Here is a 13,677-nt window from a genome sequence, read left to right as displayed (position 1 = left end):
ATGGAAGGTGGAAGGTTACCCATAGTGAAGGAGGCAAGCCCAGAGAAAAGAGTAGAGACACGGAGAAGGGGTGGGGGGTTCTTGCCCTCCAGAAAAGCAGAGAAGGAGTTGGGGCACAGAAATAAGGGATTGGGGCACAGAGATAAGAGATTGGGGCGTGGAAATAAGGGATTGGGGCACAGAGATAAGAGGTTGGGGTGTGGAAATAAGCAATTGGGGGGTTCTTGCCGCCTAGGAAAGCAGGACTTGCCGCTAAGGGTGAAGGAGAAGGGGTTGAGGGGTACTTGCCCCTGCCCCAGGAAAGTGGGACTTGCCGCTAAGGGTGAAGGAGAGGGGGTTGAGGGGTATTTGCCCCTGCCCCAGAAAAGCAGAGAAGGGTTAGAGACAAGGAGAGAAGGGGTTGAGGGGTATTTGCCCCTTCCCCAGAAAAGCGGGACTTGCTGCTAAGGGTGAAGGAGCAAGGCAGGCCTCCCTGCGTGGTCTGACACCCTTGAAACGTGAGTGTATAATCAGAGAGGCATCCCTGCAATGATTAAACACCAAGGGAAGGCTGCCTTCCCAGTCCGTGACCGGCGCCGGAGTTTTGGGTCCATGGATAAAACATGTCTCCTTTGTCTCTACCAGAAAATGAAAGGAATTGAAATTAAGAGAAGAGAGAGCTTGAAGTGTGGCACCAAGATTGAAAGGAGAAAGAGGTTGAGGGATAGTGAAGGAGGTTGGAGAAGAGAGTAAAAAGAGGCTGCTTACCGGATTTGAAATTGGTGAGATGTTTCTTGGGCTGGTCGGTCTGAGGACCTGAGGTCCTAGGTGGATCTTTCTCACGGAGCAAAGAACAGGAGGACAGGGGATTGATCTCCCAAGGGAGGTCCCCCGATCCGAGTCACGGCACCAAATTTCATGCGTGTCCGTGTGAAGAGACCACCAAACAGGCTTTGTGTGAGCAACATGGCTGTTTATTTCACCTGGGTGCAGGTGGGCTGAGTCCAAAAAGAGAGTCAGCAAAGGGAGATAAGGGTGGGGCCGTTTTATAGGATTTGGGTAGGTAAAGGAAAATTACAGTCAAAGGGGGTTTGTTCTCTGGCGGGCAGGAGTGGGGGGGTCACAAGGTGCTCAGTGGGGGTGCTTTTTGAGCCAGGATGAGCCAGGAAAAGGACTTTCACAAGGTAATGTCATCACTTAAAGCAAGGACCGGCCATTTACACTTCTTTTGTGGTGGAATATCATCAGTTAAGGTGGGGCAGGGCATATTCACTTCCTTTGTGATTCTTCAGTTACTTCAGGCCATCTGGGCGTATACGTGCAAGTCACAGGGGATGCAATGGCTTGGCTTGGGCTCAGAGGCCTGACAGTAGGCTCCGGAGGGAACACATGCAAAGTGGCACCGGTGCCCACCTAAGGGCAGAGACATCTGGAGAATGCTCCAGGTAATCCTGCAGACCTCAACCTGCCCAAAGCGACACTCTGCAGAGGTTCTGAGGTCTAGTATTAAGCCCTCTTTAGAATTTTCTCTCTCACTTGCAATGATGCTTGGCTCCAAAATTGTTCAGAATCTGAACTTTGCTGTCTAATCAGAAAGTGGGATGGTGTTGCATGTATCCAGGCTTTTGTGCTGCTGTTCTAAGCAGAAGGCCTGTTTAATATGTGATGCCCTCCTTTGGTACTGTTTGGCCTCAGTGCTTTTTGGAGTCTGGGGAGGTTTGGCCTTTAAAAATCAAACTACCTGCTGGGCGTGGCGTCCACACCTGTAATCCCAGCACTTTGGGAGGCTGAGGCAGGCAGATCACGAGGTCAGGAGTTCGAGACCAGCCTGACCAACATAGTGAAACCCCATCTCTACTAAAAAAATACAAAAAATTACCTGGGCACGGTGGCACACGCCTGTAATCCAGCTACTCAGGAGGCAGAGGTAGGAAAATCACTTGAACCCGGGAGGCGGAGGTTGCAGTGAGCAGAGATCGCGCCACTACACTCCATTCTGGGCAACAGAGCGAGACTCTGTCTCCAAAAAAAAAAAAAAGAAAGAAAAAAAATCAAACTGCCATGGAGACTGCTTTATCTGAAATTTTGATTCACAGCCTTCAATGGATTATCTATTGGGGCAAAGTAAAACTGGCGAAGTATTGTATTGCTGTCTCATGGCTAAGGTCCCAAGCTATTAGATCTTTGTTTATGTGTGTATATATATGTTTAGATGTGTTTATTTGTATGTACACTTATTGTTATATGTTGTGTCTACCAAATTGGCTTGTAAGTAAATGAGCACTCATAAATTAAGTAAGTCTAAGCTATTTTCAAGTTCACATGACTTAAAGTATAACTTTACTAAACAAGACAGCTTTAAAATTATTGGTGGAATAAAAATAGAAATGCCTTTAGAATTGTCAGCATACATTTTGTCTGAATTTTATGTTTGTCTTCGCTAGATATTTTAAAATGTCATTGTTAATTCAAGCTGGGAGTTGCTTGGGGCAAGCCTGCCTCCCATTCTATTCAAAGTCTCACTGAGATGAGTGCAGATCTGATTGCTTCCTTTGGAAAGGCTAATCAGAAACTCAAAAGAATGCAACTTTTTGTCTTCCAACTACCTGAATCTGAAAGCCCCCAATCCCCCAACCTGCCTCAAGTTCTCCTGCCTTTCCAGACCAATGTGATGTTCATTTTACATATGCCGATTGATGTCTTGTGTCTCCCTCCTTAAAAGTAAAAATTAAGTACAGTGAATGGGATAAATGTTTTAGATAAACTTTTTTTGTAAATTAAAATCTTAAACTTATTTTAATGCTCACTTAATATTTGGGTCATTTCCAATTAAGAAAGGGTTGTGATATTGGGAAATATGTTTCTAAAATTGTGGAATTGTTTTTATCTATAAATGCCCATATCTGATAGCTCAGGATTTCTTGCTTTTTAGGGTTTCATTAAAGCTTTAGGTTACCAAAGATAAAAAATTTAGTTAACTGGTAATTCTGTATACAAAATGTGCCAGAAAGGTTATGTTATTAGTGGAAAAAAGAATACTTTTGTCTAATTCAGAAGTTATCTAAAAGTTAGTTTAAATTACAGATTCGAAAAGGTTATTTATAAAACAATGCAGTAAGGAATCATTAAATAGGGGAGAAAGATGTGAAAAAAGTTTCAATAATAAAATATTTCTTAAAACCTGATAATTGAAGACATTTGGCTAATTAACATTTTCATAGTTAAAGCTCTTAGTCTTGATTAAAGTTAAATAAGAAGAATTGTAAAGAAATGCATCGGCAGTTTGGCTATTCCTTTTTTACATAGTTAAGCATGAAGCTGGATTTAATGTGGAGCCAAATTTCACATACATGCTTGCATTGCTTCACACTATGTTTATTGTGTTGCATGGACAGCGCTGGCACTGGAGTACTGATCAGTCATGTGCCTAAGGTAAATTTATTGATTGCAAAAGACATATGATAATATTAGTGAGCTTAAGGATATTGAATTGTGTATCAGGAATAAAACATTCATTATGTGGGGTTTTTTTGGCCCTAGGTAACACTGTAGCCTCCAGGGTAAATTAAGTGGGAAAATTTAGGGTTGGTTTTCTGTTTGTTTTTGCTTCTAGTTGTCTTTCTCTTTTTAATTTAAAAGTAAACTTTAATGTCAAAAATGCAAACTTGGGGAGGGCATAAAGATCACACACATGACTGCCACTTCATACTTGGAGGGTTGCACAGCGGCGGCCGGGCAACGGCGCTCCTCACTTCTCAGACGGTGGGGCGGCCAGGGAGAGGCGCTCCTTACTTTCCAGACGGTGGCGCAGTGGTGCAGAGGCATTAGTCAAGTGCGGCCGCCAGGCAGAGGCGCATCTCACTTCCCAGGCAGGACCGCCGCAGGGCAGAGGTGCTCCTCACTTCCCAGAAGGTGTGGCAGCCAGGCAGAGGCACTCCTCACTTCACAGACCGTTGGGCAGCCAAACAGAGGCGCTCCTCACTTCACAGACGGTAGGGCATCCAGGCAGAGGTGCTCCTCACGTCCCAGTCGGGGCGGCGGCCGGGCAGAGGCTCACCTCACTTCCCAGATGGTGGGACGGCCGGGCAGATGTGCTCCCCACTTCCCAGACAGTGGGGCAGTCGGGCAGAGAGGCTCCTCACTTCCCAGATGGTGGGGCGTCTGGGTAGAGGCGCTCCTCACTTCTCAGATGGTGAGGCCGCTGGGCAGAGGCGCTCCTAGCTTCCCAGACATTGCGGCCCGGGCAGAGGCCTCCTCACTTCCTACACGGTGTGGGGGCCGGGCAGAGGCGCTCCTCACTTCCCAGATGGTTTACTTCTAGTTTTCATTTGTTCACTGTTTATTCTTCTCTGGCTTTGCTTGTGTTTGCATATATAAAAAAACCATTTTTGTTTTAGTTTCTAGTGGAAGGCTTTTGTTTCTGTGAATAGTTATTTTGTTTCCTATGCATTTCTAGCAAGTCATCATTTCTTCCACTTATTTGGAATTCCTAGGCTACCTTTGATGGGCCGAGAGGAATTGATAGAGCACACCAGCCTTTTAACCTTAAACTAACTTTTTGGATTTTAGGCTTCCTGATACTTTAAGTGTGCTGAGTATACTCTCCTAGATACAATTTAAGTCAAATTTCTCTCTTTGCCTAACATAAAGTAAAAGTCACTGTTTATTTCCTCTGTAAAGTTTTAAATTAATTGGCTTAATAATAAGATCTTAAATATTTTGTCAGAAAAGTGAAAAATATAATGCCTTTTATTTAGTTCATGTAACTTGAGTGATCTTTGGGAAATAAAGATAGTTTTAAAGATTATTGGTAAAATACAAATGTCTTCATAATGTAAACATGTGGTCTAAATTATGTTCAAATGTTAGGTTTGCTAAATGCGTTAAGGTCATAAGCTGCTTGTTTGGCTTTTGAAAATTGTTTAACTTGTCTGCTTTCCAGCTAGGTAAGGCCTGGGGACATGTGGAGTTGGCCACATTCCTAGCTGTGCTGGAGATAGTCAAACCTTATCAGAACACAACTTACCAGGATTTACGTTAAAATTTGCCATTGTAACATGCAATTAACACTACTAGACACAGCTTTACATGCAAAATGTGTAAAAACAGTAGAATTTGGATTTTTTCGTGGGGGGTTAAAGATTATAAAAAAGTTTTTACTTATTTAAATCCCTAAGTCATCGTTTTGGCAAAATAAATAATTTATGGTAATCTGAAATTCCAAAATCAAACTTCAGTTCCAAAATTGTCTTTCTTGGTGGCTGGCTTTTAGGATGAATCAGAGGGCCCCTTAAAACATCCAGAAAGGAGATAAACAGGATTATTTAACGTGTTTAGTTACACGAGATTGTCAAAATGATGCTTAATATTGTTTGGGTTATATTTTTGTGACTAATACTAATATATGTTCCAAAATTGTAGGAGATTGCTAAAATTCTAATATCTGAATATATACTGTCAATTATAATTATGGTTATTATGTTAAGTTATTGTAAATCACAGAAATAACCGAATTTCCTTGTCAGTGCTATGCACCAAATTTGGAAATACAACTGGTATTCAAGAGGATATAAGTCTAATGTTAATTAAGCATGGGTTCGTGGAGAACCAGGATGGCCTTCTTGTCCTTCCTGAGCCCTTAAAGCTTTTATTATTAAAAGTTCTGCATTCCATAATTCATCATGAAAAATATAAAATAAAATTGAATACATAGGTGTGGTATCTTACAAATTACTAGAATAGTTTATAGCCAATGTTTGGCCCCATATTTCTGGAAAAACAATTAAAGCTGCAGGTACACTTGGTTACCTGGTAGGCCATTTAAACACTTTATAAAGGGATTTCATTCAATTGTTACTTTTAATGCATCTTTTCTGGTTGTATAAAAGCTTTCCCATGCAAGAGGGCTGATGTTATAAGAGAAGATTATTATGCTACAGTGTATTTTCATCAGGTAAAGAAAGCTTTTATGGTTTGGATATTCTGGAAACATCAGGAAAAAACTGTCCTTGCTACACACACTACAACAAAACTTTGGGACCCTGGGCTTTGGGTTCATGGTCTTGCAGTTGAGAAGGGTCCCTCCACACTCTTGGAGCTGTACACCCTTTGGAACCCTTAAGATAAAACTAACCAGGGAAATTTCTCCCAAGAAAAAGATGGCATCCTTTATGTAAACAGCTTTTCCCAAGTTTACAGATTAAGACTTCTACTATCATGAAGCTCTTATCTTTGAATATTTTTTCCTTGCTTCTGCCTCTATGAGGAATAGAAGTGAAAAAGGGGTCTGTTATGGCCACTTATGGGGTATATTTTTATTTGGGAAGGGGTTTGCAGCCAGCCTTAAACATGGATAAACTTATACTATGACAAATCAAAGATAAAGACCCAACATAGGTACGAAACTTTAATGGTACATGTGTTGCCTCATAATCAGTCAAAAATAAAACATTGGTTCACCCCTGTTGACCCACATCAGGGGTTAAAAAGAGCATTGCCAGGAGGGCTTCATTCTTCTAGAAGGGCATCGTTTGTTACTTCCTTTTTCCGTAGTAAAAGAGGCAATAACTAGAAATGTATCCCCCATGATAGGCTCTATAGCAAATAATACTGTAAAGGCTACAATTTCACAAGACTTTAAATTCTTTTGTGAAACTTATAATGGGATTGGCTGAACAGAAAAGTATCTGTGCAGCTTCTGGCACTTGTGACCTATAAAGGAATACATCAAATGAGAATTATAGAAATTCAGTGGTAGTGGATTAATGAAGAAACTGCTTAGTTAAGTCAGTCTTTGATCTATTTGATTTTAGGAAGTTTGGTTTATGGGGACATTGGGTAAGGAGCATACTCCAAACTGTTGGTATTATCCTCCCAATAGTCATAATAATAGTGTCCCTGGTGCGCTGTATTATCTCAAAGGTTTTAAATGCTTGCATGCAACCATCTCTAGAATGTCGTATGGTCTCTCTTAAGCTGGAATAACAGGAGCTGAAAGAAATGTGCAACCATGAGGACACCATAACCTAATGTGCTGAAACCAGAAACCCAAAATGATGTTGACTAAGTGGTGCTAAGGCCCTAAGTTTTGGTTAAACTCTCACCTAATTGAGAACCTAACCAAAAAGGTGGAATTTTTTAAACAAAATTCTGGGAGGCCATTGTTTTGAAGTAATCTCATGCACTAGGCCCCAACAGTCCAAACCAAACCAAATGGAGTGACTTGTGCTAAGACTTTAAGGAAACACATAGATTCTAGAACAAACCAGGTTTTGTTTTTTCTCTTGCAATTCTCTATAACAAACATTCCTGACAGCAGAAGTATCCACCCCATGAAGTTCCCATTAAATCTTTTAACCAAATTCATTTCCTCTCACCTAGAAAGCATCAAGCTTTAGATGATCATGCAACAAAGGGTCCAGCCAGTTCCAAGTGAAGACACCACCCCTGGCCATCAAGGAGCTACCTTGCCTCCACTAGACACAGCAGAATGACAGTTTTGTGATCCCCAGTAGGTAGGGACTGTGCCTCAAGCCAGCATAAAGCAGTTACAGAAAAAAGACCATTGGTCCCTGTGCCTCCCATAAAAATGTATGAGGATCACATCTCTCGGGGCAGATGAGGCAGGAAAATAGGGTCTGGAGGCAGGGAACATAAGGCCGATTCACACTTCAGCTATGACAAGAAATATCCTCTCCATAGGGCGTAGGCCAAGTAAATGACTTTGTAACTTTACTTCATCCTCTCCATTTACAAAGGGCATACCCGAAGTAACCGATGGAATCCTCTAGAAGGTGTTGCAACTCCCCAAAATACTGTAATGGGGCCCTTGATCCCCTATGCTTGAGCCCGCTCCCACACTGTGGAGTGTACATTTATTTTCAATAAACCCCTTCATTCCTTCCTTGCTTTGTGTGGTTTGTCCAATTCTTTATTCAAGGTGCCAAGAACCTGGACAGTCTCCACTGGTGACACAAGGTGCTCTCCTACTGCAAAAGACAAATCATTTAAAAACATGTATACATAATAATATTTCTAAAGACATGGGATTCAAAAGTACTAGCACTTAAGACCACATGCTTTCAGAAATAAAGCCCTAATTGTTCAATAAGCCTCATCTGAGCACTACATTTTAACTATATATATAATTAGGATTTTAAAATTTGAATCATAAAAATGCAAAAATCATGAAGTAGCACTATTACCAATGTGCAAAAATTGTTCTGTAAGAAAAAACACATTTACACTTGAATTAATTGAGGTTTGACTACCTCCATAACCCATATTTATCTAACTTGCCCTGCCAGAAATGTTCACCATTAACCAATTCTTTGTGTTAAAGCATTATTACCTCCCTCTATCAGATTGCATATATTATCCAACAGGGAGTAGAACATTAAGCCATTAAATGTAAACTTCAGATTTGTTAGATTTTAAAAAATGAGACACAGCCAGTTATTTTCAATTGAGGCAAATTTCTCATACAATAAAATTAGCTGTTTAAAAATAAATAATTCAGTACCGTTAATTATATTAACAATGTTGTGCAATCACCTCTTTCTAGTTCTAAACATTTTCATCACCCCAAAATAATATCACATACTCAGTAAGCAGTTATTCTCCACTCTCACTTTCCCCTAGCCTTTGAAAACCATCAATCTACTTTTCATTTCTGTGAATTTGCCTATTCACAAATTATATATAAATTGGATCATACAATATATGACCTTTTGTGTCTTAACAAAAAACATTTTTCAGGTTATAGCATATATAGGTACTTTATTCCTTTTTATAGCTAAATATTTTCCATTTTATGTATATAACACCATTTATTTGTCCATTAAGCTATTTATAGACATTTGGGTGTGTCCAGCTTTTGTCAATTGTGACTAGTGCTACTATGAATATTTGTGTGCAAGTATTTCTTTTAGTACTAGTATTCTATTCTTTTGAGTGTATACCTTGAAGTGGAATTGCTGGATTATATGGTAATTCTATGTTTAACTTTTTAAAGAACTGCTCCTATACTCTTTCTTTTTATGAATCTACCTTGGGTCTCAGGTGATCCCCCACAATGAAGTGGCCTTGTTGTCTGGGGTGACACCCGAGGTTTCTTGTCTCAGCCACAGATATCAAGGATGTGGATACACAAATAGTGAAGTTAAAGGGGAAATTGGATAGGTGAAAGAAAGATAATTGCTTTCTGTTATAGAGAGGGGTCCCAGAAAAATGGGTTGCTGACCTGCAGTGAAATGAAGGAGCTTTTATAGATGAGCTGGTGGGGAGATGGTGTCTGATCTACACAGGGCACGATAAAACAGAACCAGGTTTGCCATCTGCATATGGCATGAATCTCTGTATTATTCGGGTGGGTTTTCTACCTGAGCTGCTCCATGTTGCCCATTTCTTTCTTACTGTACAAGTGCTAACGAAAAAAAAAAGAAAACGGAGCTTCCAGGGTGGACATGCCTGGCCCCCAGGTAGCCCTTTTCTATTGGCGTAGCTGCTGGCATTTCCCCGTGCAAACTTCGAGCTTCCTTATCTATATTTGCAGTTCAGTATTTCAGGCTGCTCTTTGTTAGAAATAAAATGATTTCTCGGGTTGCTTTTTGTTAGAAGGGAAGTTCTGCCAAAGAATCTTTTGCTCTCACTATCTGCCTAAATAATTTCTATCTCCTGTATCAGAACTGTCAACATTTTCTACAGCAACTGACCAATTTTACCTTCTCATAAGTAACGTAAAAGGCTTGCAATTTCTCCGTATCCTTGACAATGCTAGTTATTTTTCTGATTTTTAAAAATTGCCGTGTAAGTGGGAGTGAAGTGGTATCTCACTGTGATTTTGGTTTGCATTGACCTAATGACTAATAATGTTTAGCATCTTTTCAAGTGTCATTTGCACATCTCTAGAGGAACATCAATTCAAGTCCATGTTGTTGTTGTTGTTAAAGACTTCTAAGAGTTGAATGGGAGTGTTTTTCATTTTGTTATTGAGTAGAAGGCGTTCTTTATAAAATCTGGATACTAGATTCTTATCAGATATGTGATTTGCAAATATTTTCTCCCATTCCGTAAGTTGTCTTTCTCTTCCTGGATAATGTCCTTTAACATGAAAAACGTTTTAATTTTAACAAACTCCAATTTATCTATTTTTTCTTTTGTTGGTTGTACTCTTGATGTCAGATCTCAGAATCCGTTGCCAAATCCAAGGTCATGAAGGTCAGGAAAACCCTTTTTTTCCTAAGAGCTTTAGAGTTTAGCTCTTATCATTAAGTCTTTGATACAATTTTAAGTACATTTTTGTATATGTATATATACATAATTTGTATATTTTTGTATAATTTTGTATAAAGCTGCAACTTTATTATTTTGTATGTGAATATCAATTTGTCACAGCACCATTTTTTGGAGGAAACTATTCTTTACCTATTGAATGATCTTGGCATCCTTGTTGAAAATCAATTGACCATACATACATGTGATTATTCCTGGACTCTCAATCCTGTTCCATCAGTGCATATGTCTGTTCTTATGCTAGGACCATACTGTTTAATTACTGTAGTTTTGTAGTAAGTTATAAAATGTGAAAATAATAGTCCTTCAACTTCGTTCCTCTACTTTGTGAGTGTTTGTTTTAATATTCAAGGCTCTTTGCAATTTCATATGAATTCAAGAATTGTGTTTTCCATTTCTGCAGAAAGGCTCTTAGACTTTTTATGATTGCATTGAGTCTATAGATTGCTTGAAGTTAGCATTGCCGTTTTAACAAAAGTAAGTCTTCTAATCCATAAACATGAAATGTCTTTCCATTTATTTATGTATTCTTTAGTTTATTAAAGTAATGTTTTGTAGTTTTCAGTGTATGCGCTGTTCACATATTTGGTTGAATTTATTCCTAAATACTTAACTTTTTTGGACACTATTATAGATGGAATTATTTCCATTATTTCCTTTTCAGATTGTTTATTATTAGTGTATAAAAAGACAGCTGATTTTTATATGTTGGTTTTTACCCAGAGGCTTTGCTAAATTCATTATTAGGTCTATTAGGTTTTGGTGGATCCTGTGGGATTTTCCATACATAGAATCATGTCATCTATGAATCAGTTTTGATAGGGGTGTGAAGAAGTAAATAAAATCATACAGTATGTGATCTATTCTGTCTGGCGTATTTCACTTAGCATAAATGTTTTTCAGGTTATATAATGTATCACTGTTTCATTCCTTTTTATGGTTGGATATTTTCATATATATCACAATTTGTTTATTCATTAACTGCCCGTGGACATTCAGGTTGTTTTTAACTTTTGTCTATTTTGAATAATGCTACTATGAGTATTTGTGTACAAGTAATTTTTTGAGTACCAGTATGTAAACCTTTTGAGCATATACCTAGAAGTAGAATTGCTTGGTTATATCATCTTTAGGTCATATAGAAAAGAAAATATTCGTAACATAGGAGTGCAGAGGATGTAAGTCTTGCATAGGATGCCACAATTGCTATAGAGGAAGAAGAGCCAGAGGGATAAATAGAATATTAAATTCCCAGGAAATGTGTAGAAAGAAAGAAGTTAAATGGATTAGAGAAATTTGTAAGGTGAGGTTTTGGTACTTCACAATTTATTCAGTAGCCAGCTTTCTTCACAGCAGAAAGGAAATGCCACAGTTAATCAAAATTTTTGTAAAAGATGGTTCTTTTGTATTGTAAAGATGGTGCTTAGAGACATGTTCTTGTTGTAACAAAAACGTGACCCTCTGGAGAAAAACTAGGTCAAATCCTTAAATTCTGTACATATATATATAGTGTTTAACATATAAAGTAATATGTTTTATTTTAATTGATGCTTCCAATTAAATCATTTAGTCTTTCCAAACAATCTTATGGCAGGCAACATGGTGTTTAAATCCATTTAATAAAGTAGGTTTGCATTTTAAGAATTTCTATAGTAGATAGTATTTTAAAATCTGCCTACCTACTTCAACACAATTGAGTTTCAACAGTTTCAATTTTGATTCATGACAAAAATCCAAAACTAGAATCCTCTATTTTATATGCATTATTTTTTAGTTATGTTTGAATAATGATAAATAGAAAATGACCCAAGCATAGGTCATTCTAATCTACTACTCAATTTTAACCTCATCATATATCAGTAGATTAAATAAATTGTCATTTCTATCACTTGATTCCCATCTGCCATTGATTACATTGATTACATTGGTTTTCCGTTTTAACCCTATTATTTAACATAATCAAGACATCAAGTAAATGCCTGAACTAGAAATCTAATTTCTTTTTGGACATCTTTCTTCCAGTCTTCACACACATCTAATTCATCAAAGTTTTGAAATTTCTACTTACAAAGAATATCCCACTTCTCCATTTCTCTTTCTCCCCACCATCACCAGCCTAGGATAGGCCACCCCCATCTCTTGGCTGAATATTAAAATAGCCTTATCTTTTTTGTTTGTTTTTGTTTTTGTTTTTGTTTTTGTTTTTTTGCACCCAGTTCCCCTCTCCACCTAATTTTGCTGTTCATACAGAAATGAGAATAATCTTTTAAAAATGTAAATTAGAAAATTTCACTGTCTCATTCAAATCCTCCAGTGTCTTCTCCCTTTACACTTAGAATTTAATATTCAAACTCTTTATTAAAACCTGTAAAACCCTGCATGATCTGAACCTTTACTGACTCCCCCATACTTTCTGCTACTTTCTCCCTCACACGATATGCTCCAGCCACTTTATGACCCTCCATATGCTAAATTTATTACCTCTTCTGAGCGTTTTATTTTCCTGTTATTTCTACTTGAAAGGCTTTTCCAGCTGGTCAGCACCTTATTCAGCCAACTTATTAAGATCTTAGCTCCAATGAAACCTCTTAAAGCTGGTCTTCCTTTACAACCTGATCTAAATTGGCTGTCTAATCTCTCCCCTTTTCCAAATTCTTTTTCACAACATTCAGTTCTTTTCTACAGAAGTCTTATCACTATATATATATATATCACCATCTATATATACTTTATGTTTATGAGTCACATAAACTAATCTAGTCATTTTCAATGCCTTGCTTTGCTCTATTAAGCTACATTAACTTAGCTCTAGAGAATTTCCTCTTGGTTCAAAATGGAGGGCTAAAGTGCTGAGCTAGTATTGGGGCAAGATTTAGTAATGTTATAAATAATTAAGTGTATATATATGTAATATATATACATTACATATATATATATTTCTGTCTCCTCTACTAGATTTTAAGCTTCATAAAGTCATATCCTTGTATTTACTGATTACCAATCTATAATATGCACCTAGACTGGTACCTGATTTTAAAAAAAATTAACATTTCTTCACTGTATAAATAACTTTTATTCTGTTAAGGAAAAAGAAACTACCAGCTTATTTTCTCAACTCAATTCATTACTTCCCTCCACAAATTTTGTCCTTTCTCTTACATATTTAATGTCTTCTACTCAACTGTTTTTTTTTTTTTCATTTCTGTTATACATATGTTCTAATTATCTTTGGGAAAACAAAATAAAAACTTTACCCCATCTGTCAAGACATGCCTTGATTTCTCAGCCTCTGCCTTGCCAGCTGTTTCCACCTGGACACCTATGAGTTGAAAACTTGGTCCTTAGCTGATCCAAAATGATATATACATTACAGCAAAGACTGTAGCTCTAATTCTAGTGACATGG

General features: G+C 37.9%; 3 annotated features.

Moving 5' to 3' along the window:
• Positions 859–1,425: an enhancer, noted in NCBI's record as "NANOG hESC enhancer chrX:92079350-92079916 (GRCh37/hg19 assembly coordinates)". NCBI's record gives its function as "activates a minimal SCP1, AML or CMV promoter by ChIP-STARR-seq in naive H9 embryonic stem cells {active_cell/tissue: H9 hESC(naive)}" and the evidence as "EXISTENCE:reporter gene assay evidence [ECO:0000049][PMID:30033119]".
• Positions 2,265–2,821: an enhancer, noted in NCBI's record as "NANOG hESC enhancer chrX:92077954-92078510 (GRCh37/hg19 assembly coordinates)". NCBI's record gives its function as "activates a minimal SCP1, AML or CMV promoter by ChIP-STARR-seq in primed H9 embryonic stem cells {active_cell/tissue: H9 hESC(primed)}" and the evidence as "EXISTENCE:reporter gene assay evidence [ECO:0000049][PMID:30033119]".
• Positions 3,592–3,886: a silencer, noted in NCBI's record as "tiled region #5624; HepG2 Repressive non-DNase unmatched - State 24:Quies, and K562 Repressive DNase matched - State 13:Ctcf". NCBI's record gives its function as "represses a minimal TATA promoter and a strong SV40 promoter by Sharpr-MPRA in HepG2 and K562 cells {active_cell/tissue: HepG2 | K562}" and the evidence as "EXISTENCE:reporter gene assay evidence [ECO:0000049][PMID:27701403]".

Source organism: Homo sapiens, chromosome X (assembly GCF_000001405.40).
Source record: "Homo sapiens chromosome X, GRCh38.p14 Primary Assembly".
Lineage (NCBI taxonomy): Eukaryota > Metazoa > Chordata > Mammalia > Primates > Hominidae > Homo > Homo sapiens.
Note: the sequence above shows the minus strand (reverse complement) of the source record. Positions and strands in the feature narration are given on the sequence as shown.